Below are 19,397 nucleotides of genomic sequence, written 5' to 3'. Positions count from 1 at the left end.
CATTTTTTACTTAGGGCGGTGTTTTTATAATGCTAAATATTTATTGTCATGAAAAGGTGTTCTTGTTTATTTTAAACAAGTGAAAGTGACATATAATTGAAACAGATTTTCCACAAGGCTCAGCTTATGTCCCTCTTTGTTGTGTCACAGTGACATAGGGACTGGCCCTTGTATTACCTAGTGGTGCTGGCATTTGGAGGGGCGGGGGCTATGCTCTGGGGAGCACGGCTGGTTTGCAGCTCTCTGGTAACTTCTTGGTGAGGGTGTCAACCTACAGAACGTGAGTGGAAGGACAAGGCCCACACATCCGCCCTCCCCTGAAAGCTTTGTCACTTCGAGGGACTGTTTAGCCTCCTCATCCCTCATGACTAAGGCGGAGATGACTGGATTGCAGGGTTTTATGAGATGATTAGAGACCAGGAGTAACAGCATCAGTGGAGGGCCTGTCACAGGACAGTTCCTATTTTTTTTTTCCAATTATTTTTCATTATAAAATATTGTTATTTTCCCATTATTGTTTTTCTGCCAGTATTCCATCATTCTGGTCCAAGAACATATAATAGATGTGAAACTCTGTCCTGACACCTGTTTTTACAAAGACTTGCACTGCCTTTCCAGTAGGAAATATTACTGCTACCATTTGTTTTCTTATGGTAGAAATGCGGCCAATGCCACCTTGATAGGAAACTAATGATTCTAATGATCAGAAGGGATCTGTTGGTTTAGAACAGAAAAATAGCACTAGAAATACAATACAAATCATAGCTTGTATTCACAAATTGTTTTTCAGTGGATGTTGTAAACACAGGTTTGTACCAGGACCAGGTGGGTCACACCGATGAGGAAGTCATGGGCTGGACAGGGTGGGTTGGGGACTGTGGGGAGAATGAATGGTGACTCCCATCCCACTGGAAGAGCTTTGTTAGAAGGCTGGACCTGCCTGTGACCTCTGCCTCCCCACTTCTAAATAGAGGTCATTGTGTTTTGCCCTTTGTTTTGCTCTCCTAGCAGTTCTTGGATGTTGTGAGGGCGAGACCACGATTCCTCCATCATGCAGGTGTGGCTGCCTCTCTCACACCATCACTTTCCAAGCTGACCTTGGTGCTGGCGACAACATGGGACTGGATTCTGGTCTCCTGACTGTTGGACCAGTGAGTGGTTTTGGGGGAGCATTAGTGTCTGGGGACTTCCTCTGAACTTCAAGGTGCCGCCAGCGTTATTCCATGATACCCTTTACCCATTAAAAATAATATAAAAATAAATGTCTGAGTTTAGTGTTGGTGTGCATGCAGTCAGCAGCCTGTCCCATATGTTCTGTCGGCGGCTCTGCAGACCACTCAGAGAAAAATAACAGCATTGGGTGACCACCTTTAAAAATGATGTTTGGATATTGGATAAAATACTCAGCCAGTCTGTAGACCCACTGGGAAAAGTATAAGGAAAGGATCCATACAGAACGGATCAGTATACATTTGTACCTTCCCTGTTTGGAGTTGGGTCAGCAGATAAGCTGAATTTTGATACATGTCTGTGTTTGTCACATGTAACATCTAAGAGCTTGGTAAAATCCCTCTCCCAGGCACATTAACTTCATATAAATAAATAGGTGCTCATGAACACCAGTTGCTTTGACACACTTCCTTGTGGAATGAGTCTGTTTTTGCTAGAGGAAAGTAATGACAAGTGATGCCTCTGTTTCTGTGGCTCCCTCCATCCGGGAGGGCTGGGGATGTCACCCTGTCACCTCTCACCTCCAGTGGCCGTCTCTGCATGCATGGTCAAGTCAGGTGCGCACAGAGACCGGATTGCTGGTTTTGTATTTTTGTTTGTTTGTAGAGATGGGTTTTGCTGGTCTTGAGCTCCTGAGTCAGGCAATCTGGCCGCCTTGGCCTCCCAGAGGGCTGGGATTACAGGTGTGAGCCACCACGCCCGGCCCGGGATTGTTGATTTTGGATGATGGGCTTTCCTGTCCACATTCGATTAGGTTTTGTGTCCCCAGATTTTATAAAAGGGTATAAAGCATTTGTGTCTATCTCTGCATCCGAATGTAAAAGCATAAATCTGAAAGTATGATCTATTGTGTTAACTTTGTCATGAGGCTCGGGGAAACATTAATGTATTGTATTTTAAAACATTCTAATTTGTGAAGTGCAGGTTTCTATTGCAGTGATAAAACAGTAGCTTGTTTCTGAGCCGGCAGCCCTGTGAGTGGGGTATTGTTGTCATAGTTGCAGCATTGCGTTGGGAAGACTGAGCTGGTGATTTAGCACATGCCAAAAACTGAGTCACCACAGCCGTTTGGTTGGGGGTGAGGGGTGAGGCGTCTGTAACACTCTCTGATAACAGTGCTTGGTGCCCTGTATAGCGTCATCTTTAAAAATGGTAATTTATTATCAGCGAGTAAAACTGATCTCAGTTAAGTTCCAGTATTTTCAAAGCACAATTATTACCAGAATTGTGAATTATTATTATTTTTTTCTTAGAAATAGGGTCTTGCTGCATTGACCAGGCCAGTCTTGAACTCCTGGCCTTAAGCAATCCTCCCTGTCTTGGCTCCCCAAAGTGTTGGGATTACAGGCCTGAGCGACCACACCCAGCCCAGAATTGTGAATCTTTTTTTTTTTTTTTTTTTGAGACGGAGTTTCGCTCTTGTTGCCCAGGCTGGAGTGCAATGGCGCAATATCGGCTCACCACAACCTCCGCCTCCCGGGTTCAAGCGATTCTCCTGCCTCAGCCTCCTGAGTAGCTGGGATTACAGGCATGCACCACCACATCTGGCTAATTTTGTATTTTTAGTAGAGATAGGGTTTCTCCATGTTGGCTAGGTTGGTCTCGAACTCCCGACCTCAGGTGATCCACCCACCTCGGCTTTCCAAAATGCTAGGATTACAGGTGTGAGCCACTGCGCCCAGTCCAGAATTGTGAATCTTTAGGAAAAAAATTAATGGTCTTATCAATTTACTTTAGCAGTAGAATTTCTTACAAAACTTAACTGCTAGGAAATGATGGCATCATTGCTTTATTTATGTGACCCCCTCCAAATTTATTATGCTGGGAGGGAGGCCAGGCCTTTGCCCTTGTTAGCCCAGCAGTCTTCACCTAGTTTGTAAGCACCTCCTAGGATGGGGCCAGGCTGTGGAGACATGCAGCTCGGCGGCTGCCCTCGGGGAGGGCCACGACACTGAAGACCTGTCAGAGCCAACCAGGGGAGAGGCCCCTGGCTCTGACTGTTCAGGAGCCATGCCTCTTTGAAGCTGGGAGAGGCAAAGCTACCAGGTTTTGAGCTGGGGGTTGAAAACTAGATAAAATGTAAAATGTGGCTGGGCAGAGAGGCAGGCATGGACTGACTGCCAGGAGTGGAAGCCCAAGGATGGAGGAATGCACAGGGGTTCCCAGCACAGTGGGACCCACAGAGTGGAGGAACCTGCAGTCCACTGGAGGGGACACTGAGGACAGCAGATGGCTTAGATGCCTGGATCTGCGCTGGAATCTGTGGCTTGGAACCACGTAGCGGTGGGCAGGCAATGTGGGGGTTTGGATTTTCTCTGGAAGAGCTGGGGGATTGGTCAGAGGCCTTAAGCAGAGGAGCAGCTTGCTTACAGAGGAAGATTGTTCTTCGAATATTAGACCGACACTCAGGTGTGAGGGAAGTCCCGGAGGAAAGAAGAGAGGGTGGGGCCCGGCAGGGACGGCTGGTAGGACACGGCCCAGGCCTGAGAGACAAGGGCTTGGCCTTGCCACCCACAGTACGGCTGTGAAGGAAGGGGCAGTGCCACTGTGTTGTGAGTTCCGCGCTGAGGTACAGGTGATGGGGGCCCAGGCAGTTCCCCGTCACAGAGTGGAGAGCACGGGCTGTGAGGCTCCTGCTCAGATAGGAAGGAGATGCCAGGCGCGGTAGTTGAAGTTCCCTCACTTACTTTTCTTTGGCGTATTAGTGCTGAGGGTGCTGCCTGCCCAGAAGAGGATAAAGGGTGAGCGTCCTCCAGAGGCTCCAGTCTCAGAGAGGAGACAGATCTGCCAGGGAGCCCCAGAGGAGGGGAGGGTGGCCCAGGGCAGCGCCGGAGGGAGCCGGTGGAGGGGGCCGCTTCAGAGCAGCAGCCTGCGCGGTGCGTGTATCCCACCGCACTCACTCCTCATCTCAGCGTGCGGGGTGAGGGTGCTCTTCCCATTTTAACAGTGAGGCACGTGGGACACAAGATAGCAACATGGTGACCAAGGGCAGCTGATGGAGCGGTTAACCCCACATCTGGACCCCGCGGTCACACAGCCCAGTGCACACTCCTGACCCAGTCACATGCACCTCAGATATCCCTGGAAAAGATCCCAGGGGCCCTGATGACAGTTGTGAGTCTGAGCCAGAAGTGGGGAAAGGGTGGGAAGGGTTTTCCAGGAACTGTGAATGGCAGGAACGAGTAAGGTTCTTGGGAGGGTGTGAGTATCCCAAGAGGAAGTGAGTGCGGTGGCAGGCTCCGTCCTAGGTCCTAGCAGGTGGACTGGCAGTTATCATTTCCTCTCCAGAGCTCCCTGGAGAAGGCATTCTCCCATTTTACCCACGAGTACAATGAGCCCCAGACCGCGTTCCTGCGTCACTTGGGCAGTGGTGACAGGATGCAGACCCAGGCCTGTAGGAGCAGGCAGCTCCTTCTGACATACCACATGGCTCCTTCTAACACACCACGTGACACTCTGGGTAAGAAGGGTCCAGACCCAGGCCAGGTGTGAGAGGCTTCCCCGCTTTAATAACCTCTGTTTCGGCCAGGTATGGTGGCTCATGCCTATAATCCCAGCACTTCGGGAGGCTAAGGCAGGCAGATCACCTGAGGTCAGGAGTTTGAGACCAGCCTGGCCAACATGGTGAAACCCCATCGCTACTAAAAATATAAAAATAAGCCAGGTGTGGTGGTGGGTGCCTGTAATCTCAGCTACTTGGGAGGCTGAGGCAGGAGAATTGCTTGAACCCAGGAGACAGAGGTTGCAGTGAGCCGACATGATGCCACTGCACTCCAGCTTGGGTGACAGAGTGAGACTCTGTCTCAAAAAACAAAACAAAACAAAACAAAACAAAACAAAACAGAAAAGCAAACCTCAGTTTTGATTCTGAAATCTAAGGCAAGCATGAGCACATGTAATAGGGAAGTAAGGAAGGCACAGCGGCAATAGACTGGGTCATGGGGATCAGAGATGCATGGCCTGTTTGCAGGGCCTTGAGGCCAGCACTAGTCCAGGTGTGGTCCGTGGACTGGTCTGCAGTAAGATGAGTGCACCACTAGGAGTGAGCATCTGCAGACTTTCATAGCAGCTTAATGTTGTTGCGATATTTAAGTGCATGGTCATTGATGGTGCCTCAAGTAGGGTACAGATGACCTGTCTTGTGGAGTCATGGGTCACCTGTGACATGGAGAGCTTTTCCTGTATTATGTTCCTCATCCCCCTAGTAGACCTGTACATAGGTGCTGTTACTGTCACTTTCTTGAAGAGGAGGACACTGAGTGTCAGAGAGGTTGAGCAGCTTGCTCAGGATGACAGCCCACCCCTATAGCCATGAAGCCTGGCAGCGGCCTCTCCCTCAGCACCATTTCAGCTCTTCATGTTTCATTGTTCTCAGAGCAGGACTGCCAGCCTCTTCCTGGGCCCAGGGCTGCAGCACCCTTCCTCCTTAGAGAGCGCCAACTGGGTTTGAGGAGTGCCAGCATGCTATGGGTCAGTCCCCCTGAAACCTGGACTCATATGCTAGGGATTATTAACCATTCAGTCCCTTTGAAACTTGTGACTTTTGGGAAGAAAGAGAGACAGATAGGAGAAGATAGGTAAAATTTGGATGTCCATAGTCTCCATTGATTTACCTTCTTTTCTGTTCTAGCAAATCGAAGCAAAGGATTTGCACAAGTTCTTTGGAATATAATACTTTCTAAACAGCCAGTGCTGCACCTCCTGGGCAGACAGGCAGTGGACACCGCTGTGTGTGACTGTTGCTGGCTCACGCATTCGTTAGTGTCTTAAGGATGTCCAGCCCTGGAGGAGTGTGTGTGTGTGTGTGTGTGTATGTATGTGTGCTCATAGACTTGGAACGTTGTGTGGCTCATCTTTGGGAGGTGTGCTGTGCAGCCTGTCTGGCCTAAGGGCAGAAAGATATGAGGTGCCCACCGGCAACACCTCCCCTTGGCTTTCCTGGCCTATGCCATTCATGGGTGAGGAAAGCTGTTCAGATGTTGCCTCCCTGACTCCATGAAGATTGATTGTGCTGGGGAGAGTCTGAGTGGAGAGTATCTTGGGGTAGAGGAGGAAGAGGAGAGCTGAGATATGAGAAAGGGCTTATGTGCTCGGACAAGTGGATTTGACCTCAGAGCTTCGATGTCATCTGTGCTCAGACAAAGGCACTGTAGGCTTGTTTACAGTTTTGGATGGTACAGTATCATGTTAGTGGTGCAGTTGTTGTTATTAACTCCTGAGGTAGGATGAGACTCATGCAGCATGTGAAGTGACAGGGTCAACAGTGAAAATTTACACATTTGCACCATTTTGCAGCTTTCGGAGTCCCAACATCTGTGTATTCATTTGACATGACATGCTCATGAGCCTGGTGGGCAAGCATTTCTTTCCCTACTTTTCAGATGGTGAATGAGCCATGAGCTAAGTAAGAGCAATGGAGTGGCCTGCCTTGCTCACATCTGCTTTGTTGCTGGGGTGGGGGATGCCCTGTGGCCCCAGCCCATGTGTTAGGAGGTCAGAGCTCAGAAATGGTGGAGAATGTCATTGCAGGAGCATGCACAGGCAGCAAGCTGCACAATTAGCCCTGAATAGCAGGCCACCTCTTAAAGCATGCCCTGACAACAAAGGTGACTGGGTTGAAGTCTGTAGGTGTAGTAGTTACCTATTGCTACGTAGCAAGTCTCCCTAATCTTAGCAGCTTAGCAGTGGGAATGGCTTTACTGGGTGGTTCTGATGAGAATTTTAGGTTGTAACTATGCTTAGAGTCATATGCAGTGGCTGGACAGTGGCTCAGTTTTTGCCAACTTTTGTCAGGATGCCTCAGCTCTTTGCCATGTGGCCTCTCCGTATGCCTGAGTGTCTTCACAAAATGGCAGCTGACTTCCTGTAGAGCATGTGATTCAAGAGGGGGTGCAAGGAGCAATGCAAGGCCTTTTATGACCTAGCCTTAGAAGTGATACACTGTCACTGGCTTCATACTTTGTCAGAAGCAAGTCACTAAGTCCAGCCCACACTCGGGAGGGAAATTAGGCCCCATCTTTGGAAGAGATTAGTCTGAAACATTTGTGGTCATACTTTGACTTACCATAGGGCAATATGGTCTTGATTGTCTTTTCCCAAAGCAACTTGGTTAAGCTCCTAGTGAAGACGCATTAAAAACATACATCGAGTGGCCTCTGAAGAGGAGACTTTTTATAACCAAATCCCACTGATACAAACCTTTCTGATGGTTGGCTTTTCCATGTATCAAGGGCTGCATGTGGTAGTTTTCTTTATAGAAGTATGTATTGTTGTTTATGTAAAGATTTTCAAGGCCAGGCATGGTGGCTCAAGCCTGTAATCCTAGCACTTTGGGAGGCTGAGGCGGGCAGATCACCTGAGGTCAGGAGTTCGAGACCAGTCTGGCCAACGTGGCAAAACCCCGTCTCTACTAAACATACAAAAAATTAGCTGGGCATAGTGGCAGGTGCCTTTAATCCCAGCTACTTGGGAGGCTGAGGCAGGAGAATTGCTTGAACCCGGGAGACGGAGGTTGCAGTGAGCTGAGATCGCACCATTGCACTCCAGCCTGCATGACAGAGTGAGACTCCATCTCAAAAAAAAAAAAAAAAAAGATTTTCAAAATGATGAAACTTAGCTTACCATGTTAAGAACAACAACAAAAGATCTCAGGTACTGAAAGGTGATCACATGCCACAGTTGGGACAGTCCCAGTTAACACCTGGTGTGATTCCTAATAATGCCTATTTCACCTACCACATTGCCCTGTCTGGACTATACATGTTATGATTGCTCAGCCTTGATGCTGAGTCTACCTACGTAAAAATGAGGGTGGGATTCTTCCCCGGTGGGTGTTAACCAGGGATGTGCAGCCGAGTCACCGAGGAGCTTTGGAGTAGAAACATACCTCAGCTCTTTGCAGGGGGATGCTGCCTGGGCCAGCAGAGAGGGGACTCAAAAGAGGGTTTGAGGGTGCTTCCCTGGTGATTCAGACGTCCAGCCTTGGCTAAAGATGATCCTTTCATTCATCATTCAGTATTACACCCAGCCATCAATTCCTTAAATGTGTATTAGTTGAGATGTTGTTCCAGCTCCCAAGGTGGCCAGCCTGGGAGTTCTATTTAGTTGAAAAGACCTGAGTGCATACAGCATGGTCGTTTTCCAGTACAAGAATTTCCTCTTCAAGAAATATGTGTTTGTAACGCACTTCACATGGTTTAACCAAATTGCTTTGGAAAAAGGCGGTCCAGCCCAGATTGAAAGCAAGCTCTCGTCCTATACTTAGCACCTCCCTGTGAGTAATCAGCAACATCAAAATGCCCATACATCCTTGCAAGCAAACATCTACCATGAAACAAAAACTATTCCGTAAAATACTTTCAGAGTCATTTATCAAATTGATTTGCTGCAGTATTATTTGCCCCCCAAAAAAGTTATCTTAAGTTGTTGATCAAAAAAGAAATGAAATATTTAACTTGTGTAAAATAACTTTACACAAGTTAACTTTGGTAAAAAAGCAAAACCAAAAACAAAAGAATAGAAGAAGAAAGTAAAGCCAAGCTTAATTAAAAAAAAATATTGCACGCCTTCATTTAATCAAACATCTCCCATGTTAGGACAAACTTTACATTAAAATAATATGTGTATGATTGTCTCTGTGTTGTCATATTGTCCTACATATTATGAAGGTTTAAATATGAAATGATCCATTTTTCTGATGTAGGATCATTTTAAAATGGATTTATTTAATTGGCTCATGAGTTTAAAAAACTCAGTATTAATTAAAATTCACCTATGTGCTGATATCATGGGTGTCCCTGCTCTGACAGATCCCACAATAAAGAAGGGAGGACTGATCTCTAAAGTCCATTACAACAAGTGTTATCATAGAGATATGTGCAAAGTGCTTCATGAACACCCAGAAAAGAAGGAGCGGAGCAGTTAGTTCTACTTGTAGGGTGGGGCTTAGATAAGTCAGGTTTATTTTTATGGAAGGCCTTCTCAGAAAATCATTTTGCTGAAGCAGTTCTTAAATATAACACTCCTTCCAGACCTAAGCCCCAGCCAGGCCAGACAAGCTGTAACTATCCCTAAGATTAGCTTATGTAAATAGTAGCTTAGGGATTACTCAGTGAGGGTTTTTAAATTTTCATTGATCACTTAGGAGGGTAAAGAAGTATGGAGAAGTGCAGACTTCTGTGAGGCTGCCAGGATTTGAAATTTTTCGGAAAGGTTAACAAGAAAGTTGAGATTAGGTTGGCCACAAGTTCTTGGGCTTTGATGGCAGTTGTTGGACACATCATCTGTAGGGACCTACAGAAGGCCAGAGGCACAGAACAGTTAACACAGAATGTGAACTGATGGCCCTGGAAGGGTGTTGTACATATCCTTGTCTCCAGGATGTCGTGTTTGCTTTGCTGGGTGTGTCCCAATCCTTGCAAAGTAGTTGTTGTCAGTGACAGTCTGAAAGGACAGGCCTGTATCAGTGACTCTGTACTACATATCTAGGCATTTGCAAGATTATTTCATTGGTCCCAGTTAATTGGGCAGTATTTTTTTTGAAAAATGTTTTTTAATGTATGTATTTTTAATCGTTATTTTTTTGCCCTAATTTCTGGGATACATGTGCAGAATGTGCAGGTTTTTTATGTAGGTATACATGTGCCATGGTGGTTTGCTACACCTACTAACCTGTCATGTAGGTTGTTTTTTTTTTTTTGAGCCAGAGTCTTGCCCTGTCACCCAGGCTGGAGTGCAGTGGTGCGATATCAGCTCACGACAACCTCTGCCTCCCCGGTTCAAGCGATTCTCCCTCCTCAGCCTCCTGAGTAGCTGGGATTACAGGCATCTGCCATCATGCCTGGCTAATTTTTGTATTTTTGTAGAGATGGGGTTTCAACACGTTGGCCAGGCTGGTCTTGAACTCCTGACCTCAGGTGATCTGCCTGCCTCGGTCTCCCAAAGTGCTGGGATTATGATTGAGAGCCATTGTGCCCGGCCCGTCATTTAGGTTTTAAGCCCCTCATGCATTAGGTATTTGTCCTAATGCTCTCCCTCCCCTTGCCCCTACCCCGCAACAGGCCCCAGTGTGTGCTTTTCCCTAATTGGGCAATATTTTTTAAAATAAACAATTTTGATAACTTTAAATAAGTGATACCAGTAAAACTTTAAATTCTATATAAATGGAGCATAGACCATGTACAAGGACAATGCTAGATCTACAGGGGGTATAAAAACATGCTTATATTGCTGGACCCCAAGGATGACATGGTTTGGTTAGAGGCTAGCAATATCAAGTACAGAAAAATATTAAACCTTTACTTAGAATTAAGACCAAAATGGTTTTTTTTTTTTTTTTTTTGAGATGGAGTTTCACTCTTGTCGCCCAAGCTGGAGTGCAATGGTGCGATCTCAGCTCACTGCAACTTCTGCCTCCCAGGCACAAGTGATTCTCCCACCTCAGCCTCCTGAGTAGCTGGGATTATAGGCATGTGCCTCCACACCCAGCTACTTTTATTTTTTTTTTGTATTTTTAGTAGAAATAGGGTTTCACCATGTGGGCCAGGCTGGTCTCTACCTTCTGAGCTCAGGTGATCCACCTGCCTTGGCCTCCTAAAGTACTGGGATTACAGGCATGAGCTCTGCGCCCTGCCTTTTATTTATTTATTTATTTTTATTTATTTATTTATTTATTTATTTATTTATTTATGTTTTGAGATGGAGTCTCACTCTGTTGCCCAGGCTGGAGTGCAGTGGCATGATCTCTGCTCAGTGCAGCCTCTGTCTCCCAGGTTCAAGTGATTCTCCTGCCTCAGCCTCCTGAGTAGCTGGGACTACAGGCATGTGCCACCATGCCTGGCTAATTTTTGTATTTTTAGTAGAGATGGGGTTTCACCATGTTGGCCAGGCTGGTCTCGAATTCCTGACCTCAAGTGATCTGCCAGCCTTTGCCTCCCAAAGTGCTGAGATTATAGGCATGAGCCACCTCGCCCAGCCTAAGGTAGTTCTTGACTGTTGAAAAACTTAGGCAAATAGCTACAGACTGAGTGCCTGTCACTTATATACTGGGAGCACTGTGCATGATCCAGCACCCTTACCGAGCATGGGACGACCTGGGAGCACTGTGCGTGACCCAGGACCCCTTACCAAGCATAGAATGACCTGGGAACACTATGCATGATCCAGCACCCCTTACTGAGCATGGGACAGCCTGCCTTGTAGCCAGTGTCTGTTGGTTCTCACTTATGGATGAATTTCTTCTTTTTCCTCTTTGTGATTGAGAAGGTGTACTGTATTTTGGAGCTACTTTACTGAGGGATATTTATGTACAATAAACTATACATATTAAGGCATACAGCTTTATGAATTTTGATGTGTGTGACACCCTTGAAACTGTTACCACAGTTGAGATACAGAAGTTTTTCTGTTGCTGCTCAAAGGTTTCTTGTGCTTCTTTGCAATCCATTCCTCCCTCTCCTGCGCCCCTCAACCACCATTGATCTGTTTTATTTATGTAGGTGGCATCTTTTTGTCAAATTTTTTCACTTGGCATGATGATTTCATGGTGTCTCTATTGTTCATCCCTCTTTATTGATGAACAGTATACCATCATTAATTTACAACAATTTGTTCTCCCATTGATTGACATTTAGGTTGTTTTGGGGTTTTAGCTATTACAAATAAAGCTATTATGAACATTCATTTATAGTTTTTGTATGGACATGTATTCCCTTTCTTTGAGGTAAATACCAAGGAGTGGAATGGCTGAGTCACATTGTAGATGTTATGTTTCATGTTTTACAAAACTGCCAGGGTTTCTTAGCTGAAAAGTAATTTGGTGAAAACAAAACAAAGCAAACAAACAACTACAAAAATGCCAGGCTGTTTTCCAAAGTAATTGTTTCTTCCTCTTCTAGCAGTGGATGAGAATTAACAGTTGTTGGGTCAGTCTTTAATTTTCACCATTCTAGTGTGTGTGAAGTTTATTGAATTTTAAATCTAAACTTTTTGATTTGGCGCATCACATGTGTTTAGTAACTTATTCCTTCAATTCTGTCATTGTGTCACTCAAGGGAAAGTGGAATCCTGGCCCCAGGGTAGCAGCAGCCTTGGCTGTGGGGTGCATGAAACCTGTGTGCCCAGGCCTGGGATACGTGGGCATCCCTAGAGGGCCCTGCTCCTCTTTACTCAGGGCTGCTCGGGGCCTGCAGGGGCTGCAAAGAGTTGGGCTTGGGCAAGCCACGGGCCTTGGAAGGAGCTTTGCTTTCTAGGCTCTGGAGTGTGGAGGGAGGAGGGGACAGAACAAGATCCCAGACAGGAGGGACCCTCCACACAGGGGAGTGCTCAGCCTGGTCTCCCTCAGAGCTGGCAGCAGGTCTCACAGATGTGTGCTGAAGAGGCTAAAGGAGAACAGCTACCTAGAAATGCACAAGAATGCCTTTTGCGTCAGCAAATAGAATGTGTCCCTTTCTAATACCTGGCTTCAGGAAATAAAGGGGCCATTTAAAGAATGTGATTAGGTTGGCTGAATTATGTTTTTCCAGCTTCTGATGGACGTTTTTTAATGTCTTTATCAGTCATATTTAAATAGTACTCATTCTAATCAGATTCTTTAAAACATAATACTCTTGGAATGGATGACTTTTTATGGGATTTCCTCAAATATAATAATCAACAGTCATTGATTTGAAGATTCATTTCATTCCATTCAGTGGGTACCTTAAAATGACAAAATGGACATGGAACCTTTCAAATGTAAATAAAAGCAGAGAACATAGTAAAGAAATCGTATGGGTCCATTAATGAGCTTTGGCAGTTTTTAACATTTGGCAATTCTCCCACTTTTTTTTTTTTTTTTTGAGTCAAAGTCTCATTCTGTTGCCCAGGCTGGAGTGCAGTGGCACAATCTCGGCTCACTACAGCCTCCGCCTCCTGGGTTCAAGAGATTCTCCTGCTCAGCCTCCCAAATAGCGCCCTCCACCACACCCAGCCAATTTTGTGTTTTCAGTAGAGACAGGGTTTCACCATGTTGGTCAGGCTGGTCCACAGCTCCTGACCTCAGGTAATATACCTGTTTCAGCCTCCCAGCAATGCTGGGATTACAGGTGTGAGCCACTGTGCCTGGCCCCACTTCTTATTTTTATTTTTGGCTTGAACGTTTTAAGGCAAAAGCTCCCCATTCTATCTTTTCATTTGTAAATACTTCTGTGCTGATTGTGCACTGATAAATCTTACTTTTTTTTTTGAGACGGAGTCTCGATTTGTTGCCCTGGCTGGAGTGCAATGGCGTGGTCTCGGCTCACTGCAACCTCCACTTCCTGGGTTCAAGTGATTCCCCTTCCTCAGCCACCCGAGTAGCTGGGATTACAGGCATCCACCACCACACCCAGCTAATTTTTGTATTTTTAGCAGAGAGAGGGTTTCACCATGTTGGCCAAGCTGGTCTTGAACTCCTGATCTCAGGTGATCCGCCTGCCTCAGCCTCCCAAAGTGTTAGGATTACAGGCATGAGCCACCATGCCTGGCTTGATAAAGCTTGCTTTTTTATGACTGTCACCTCATTACCCTGCCTGACAGTAATTCCTTAATGACAGCTAATTTCCTGTCCATACTTAAATTTCCCAGATTGTGTTCAAGGTAACTTTTTACAGTTGTATATGATCCTTGTGCTAGGACTCCTGGCTAGGACTTTGGAAGACACAGAGGTTGGCCTCAGCAATCTCCTTTCTGGTGACTCTGTGAATGTGCCCTCACAGTTCATGTCTGTATCTTCTGGTCACTCAGACACCCCTTGTGTGTCTGTGTGCCTCAGCCTTGCTTGTGGTCCCCGAGATGCCTGTTCCCCGCTGTGCCCCTCAGTCTTTCTTCGCTGCCTCGCGATGGCTTGCTGGCTCTAACAGGGATTTCTGCTTTCCTTGCTCTGGCGCTCCATGCAGCTAGCCGTTCATCTGTTTATTCAGTCATACCCCAAGGGTTGTGAGCCCCTGGCAGGAATGGGCACTGTGCAAGGTGCTGGAGACCTAAAGAAGACGTGGCCTTTGCTCTTGGGGAGGATGGTGAGGGGCAGAGGCAGATTCCATGCAGTACAGTGTGGTGTTGCTATGGCAGACACCAGCCGGAGGGAAGGGCACACACCTGGGGAGGCACCCTGCTTCAGGGAGTGGCACTGGAGTTCCTACCTGAGGTCAAGGTGTTCACATGGAGAGGGGAGTATGCATGGTGCCAGAAAGGGTGCTGGCCCAGGTGTCTGGGGGAAGTGGGATTTAGCATATTAGTATTCAGGGTTATTATTTGAGCAGTTTAATCTTCCTGAAACTCACAAGGAGGGGCCGAGGCTGAGGTTGTGTGGGAAGCTGGAGAGAAAGTCAGGGCAGTAGGGAGCCCAGGAAGGCTTAAGCAGGGTGGGGCGAGCCTAAATTTGAATTTAGAAAGATAGCACACATCTTTCACGCACCCTTTGTTCTGATATCTGTGTTTATTTAGGGGTAAACTAACTTCTGATTAAGACAAGATTTAAAGGAAGGCTGAGCACAAATCATTTTACAATGTAGACAAGCTTTTTCCAAGCCAGCAATCTGAGTTGTGACATTGCAGGTTTCACATTATCTCTGCTGGAAAGGACCCTGGTGATCACCCGGCCAGGCATTCTAGTTTGCCTGTTCCTTCAGAATCCATGTTCCCCAATGATTAGCAGTCAGATTTCAAAATAATGCAAATTAGATGTGCTGATGGCACACATTGTCCTCTGGTAACCAGTAGCACATAATTTATGCCACTGGCATTGTGACTTGCCCATTCTATTGAGTCTCTGTGATTGGTGTATGCATTTGATTGTGTTTGCTCAAGTCCAAGTGTTGATCTTGAGCAGTCACCACCTTTCATTCAGGTTGCAAATATGACCACCCTAAGGTTACTGCTGCTCATGTGGAACATTTTGCTTTGCAGCATCTTAGGGGTATTTCTGTTTTCCTGAGCTGCCATTTTTCTCTGTATCTCATTTGTTTTCCCAAGGCCCTCGTATAGGGCTGGCATGCAGGAGGATGAACAAAAATAGACACAGGAAACCAGGCCAAAGAAAGGCAGAGAGGGGAGAGATATCAGCCATGAAAGCAAATCTGTGTCCTGCAATTGAACATCAGTTCGGTCTTTATGTTTCTGACAAGCTGGGCAACAGGGAAACAATAATTTCCATAGTTCTCATTATTGAAAGTAGGACAAGTTGCGTTTCCTCAAAGGAGGCGTCATTGTTTTTGGCACTGAAAGGTAATTACTTGTAGTTGTTTGTTCTGATCACTGCTGTTCACTTCCATTCTGTGGCTTGCTGGGAGTGTTCACATATAATTTGCAGACATTGTTAGCACAGCTACTGTGTGCAAGGCACAGAAGTGTTTGAGACTGAGTCTTATTTCTGGAATAAGGAGAGGTGGCACTCTAGGACGGGAGGTAAGCAGGAGAGCAGATGGGCAGGATCAGCACATGAAGGTCCTCTGAGCCCTGCTGCCCGGCAGAGCTCCGTTGTAGGCAGTGGAGGAGCCATGGAAGATCATAAGCTCCTGTTTTAGAAAACAAGCTCTGGCTGCTTTGTGGAGGGCCACACCCGAGTGCAGTGACACAGGATCCAGGGAGGGCTGAGAGGAAGTGTCAGCAGGAGGGCAGTGAGGTCTGTGGCTCTGGGAGCCTAGAGTCACTTGGGAGGTGACTTAGGAGAGCAGACAATGAGAACACAGAGAGGGAAGGACACAAGTATGTAGAACGACTTGCAAAATAATCAAATGATAGACTTGTTCCCAATTGTTATAACATCATTTGTTGAAAAGACTATTTGGGAAAGAATAACAATTTAAAAAGGAAACTGTTATGAAACAATCAGTTGCTGTCCATTCCTCACTGGACCCTGAGCACCAGTGCGGTGGGCATGCTGGGAGGAGATGCTGCTGACTTTAGACTATGCAGGGCTCTGTTCTCCTTTCTCTCTGTGCTATCATTATGCACAAGTGGAAACAAGACGTTTTGGCCCTGCACTCCTGAGGACTATTTTATATTGTTCTTTACAGTTTTAACCCTGATGACTTCTTATATTGTTCTTGTTCATATTTTAACAAGGACAGGTTGAGTAAATTAGTTGCATACAATTAGTTGAGTAGGTAGAAGAGTATTTCCATAGATATCCATCTTGAAGACTAGTATTTGAATTCAGTTCTTATTTCCCATTTGTATTTTCTAAAATTATTATTTATTTATTTTATTTTTTGAGACTGAGTTTTGCTCTTGTTGCCCAGGCTGAAGTACAATAACGTGATCTCAGCTCACTGCAACCTCCACCTCCTGGGTTTAAGCGATTCTCCTGCCTCAGCCTCCCGAGTAGCTGGGATTACAGGCACCCCCCAACCATGCCTGGCTAATTACTGTATTTTTAGTAGAGACAGGGTTTCACCATGTTGGCCAGGCTGGTCTCGAACTCCTGACCTCAGGTGAGCCACCTGCCTCGGCCTCACAAAGTGCTGGGATTACAGGTGTGAGTCATCACGCCCAGCCCCATTTTCATTATTGTTGTTTTTTCTTTCTTTCTTTTTTTTTTTTTTTGGAGACTGTTGCCCAGGCTGGAGTGCAGTGGCGGGATCTCAGCTCACTGCAACCTCTGCCTCCCGGGTTCAAGCAATTCTCTTGTTTCAGCCTCCCAAATAGCTGGGACTACAGGCGCCTGCCACCATGCCTGGCTAATTTTTGTATTTTTAGTAGAGACAAGGTTTCACCTTGTTGGTCAGGCTGATCTCGAACTCCTGAACTCAGGTGATCCACCCGCCTCGGCCTCCCAAAGTGCTGGGATTACAGACGTGAGCCATCATGCCTGGCCCCCATTTGTATTTTTTAAATTTTACTTTTTAAACCAAAATGGAGTCCAGTTGACTTCTTTCATAATTCCATGAATTTTAACATGTGCATAGATACCACAATTAGCACACAGAACACTTTCATCACCCCAGCATTTTCTTTTGTTCTCTTCCTGGCAACCACTGATTTGTTCTCCATCACTATAATCTTTTTTGAGAATGCCCTATAAATGGAATTGTAGGGTATAACCTAACCTCTTTCGCACAGCATACTGCCTTTGAGATTCAGCTCCTTTCAGTCAACTGTCAGTAGTTCATTCATTTTTTTTTCTTTTTTTTTGAGACAGAGTCTCACTTTGTAGCCCAGTTATTATGCAGAGTCATCTTCTATCATATGGGTCCACCACTGTTTGTTTACCCATCCACCCATTGCAGGACATCTGGGTTTTCTCCAGTGTTTTGTGAGTGTGAATAGAGCTGCTATAAACATTCATGTACAGGTGTTTGTGTGAACCTACAGTTTCATTTCTTTAGGGTAAATACCCAGGAGTGGGAGTGCTGGGTCATAACTATATGCATAAAGTGTTTAACATTTTAGGAAATTGCCAAATGGTTTCCCAGAGTGTCTGTACCATTTTGCATTCCCACCAGCAGTGCATGAGAGCTCCAATTGCTTTGTATCCTCACCAGCACTTGATATTTTTAAGATTGTTTCATTTTAGCTATTCTTATATATTAGTATTACATCATGGTTTTAACTTGCATTTACCTAAAGGCTAACGATGGCGAAGCTTTATGTGTTTATTTACCATCCATATGTCTTTTTGGGGGAAATCTTTTGCCTGTCTTTTAAGTCTTTTGCCTGTTTTTCAAAGGGTTGTTTGTTTTCTTATTCTGTGGGATTGTTTTTATTTTTTGATTTTTCAACTTTTATTTTGGAATAAGAGGGTTCATATGCAGTTTTGTTACATGGGTATATTGCGGGATGCTGAGGTTTGGGGAATGGCTGATCCTATTATCCAGGTAGTGAGTGTGGTACCCATGCTCCTCTCCTTTCCTCCCCACCTCCAACATCGCCAGTGTCTGTTGTTCCCATCTTTGTGTCCATGTGTACTCAATGTTTAGCTCCCGCTTGTAAGTAACAACATGCAGTATTTGGTTTTCTGTTCCTGCATTAATTCACTTAGGATAGTGGCATCCAGCTGCATCCATGTTGCTGCAAAGGACATGATTTAATTCTTTTTTATGGCTGTGTAGTATTCGATGGTGTATATGTACCATATTTTTTTAATCCAGTCCACCATTGATGGGCACTTAGGTTGATTCCATGTCTTTCCTATTGTGAATAGTGTTGCAGTGAACATATGAGTGGCATGTGTCTTTTTGGCACAATGGTTTCTTTTCCTTTGGATATATATCCAGTAATGGGATTGCTTCATTGAATGGTAGTTATGCTTAAGTTCTTTGAGAAATCTCTAAACTACTTTCCACAGTGGCTGAACTAATTTGCATTCCCATCAACAGTGTATGTATTCCCCTTTCTCTACAGTCTCACCAACATCTGTTATTTTTTGACTTTTTGATAATCACCGTCCTGACTAGTGTGAGATGGCATCTCATTGTGGTTTTGATTTGCATTTCTCTGATGATTAATGATGATGAACAGTTTTTTCATATGTTTCTTGGCTGTTTGGATATTTTATTTTAAGAAGTATCTGTTCATGTCCTTTGCCATTTTAAAATTAGATTTTTTTTTGCTTTTTTTTTTTTAGTTACTTGAAGTTTCTTTATATAATGTGGATACAGCTCCTAGGTCATATGTGATTTGCAGATTTTTTTTTTTCAGTCAGTATCTTGTGTTTTTATTCTTTAGCAGTGTCTTTGGAAGAGTAGAAAATTTTAATTATGAAGAAGTACAGCTTTTTTTTTTTTTTAAACTTTATGCTCTAGACATGATTTAGGCACCATATCTAGGAACTCTTGCCTAACCCAGGCCATGAATATTTTCTTGGATGTTTCTTCTGAAGGTTTTATACCTTTACTTTTCCATTTAGATCAGTGGTCCATTTTGAGTTAATTGTTGTATAAGGCATGTGACTTAGGTCGAAGTTCTTCTGCTACTTCTCATTTTTCTTTGGCATAGGGTATCCAATTGTTATAATACCATTTGTTGAAAAGACTGTCTTTCGTCTATTTAATTGCCTTTACACCTTCATAAAAAATCACTTGAATATATTTATGTGGATCTATTTCTTGATTGTCAGTCTTGTTTAATTGATTTATAACTGTTGCTTCACCAATATCACACTATCTTGAATACTGTAGCTTTATAGTAAGTCTTAAGGCTATGTAATGTGA

The 19,397-nt window shown here is 45.0% G+C and overlaps 1 protein-coding gene across 22 annotated transcripts in view, besides 1 other annotated feature; it reads left to right on the top strand.

Annotated features, from left to right (window-relative positions):
* Positions 1 to 19,397, top strand: part of COBL (cordon-bleu WH2 repeat protein) — a 300,598-nt gene that overhangs the window by 11,596 nt on the left and 269,605 nt on the right. The gene's annotated exons all lie outside the window — the stretch shown is intronic.
* Positions 1,371 to 1,870: an enhancer, noted in NCBI's record as "H3K4me1 hESC enhancer chr7:51371041-51371540 (GRCh37/hg19 assembly coordinates)". NCBI's record gives its function as "activates a minimal SCP1, AML or CMV promoter by ChIP-STARR-seq in primed H9 embryonic stem cells {active_cell/tissue: H9 hESC(primed)}" and the evidence as "EXISTENCE:reporter gene assay evidence [ECO:0000049][PMID:30033119]".

This window comes from Homo sapiens, chromosome 7 (genome assembly GCF_000001405.40).
Source record: "Homo sapiens chromosome 7, GRCh38.p14 Primary Assembly".
NCBI classification, from domain to species: domain Eukaryota; kingdom Metazoa; phylum Chordata; class Mammalia; order Primates; family Hominidae; genus Homo; species Homo sapiens.
Note: the sequence above shows the minus strand (reverse complement) of the source record. Positions and strands in the feature narration are given on the sequence as shown.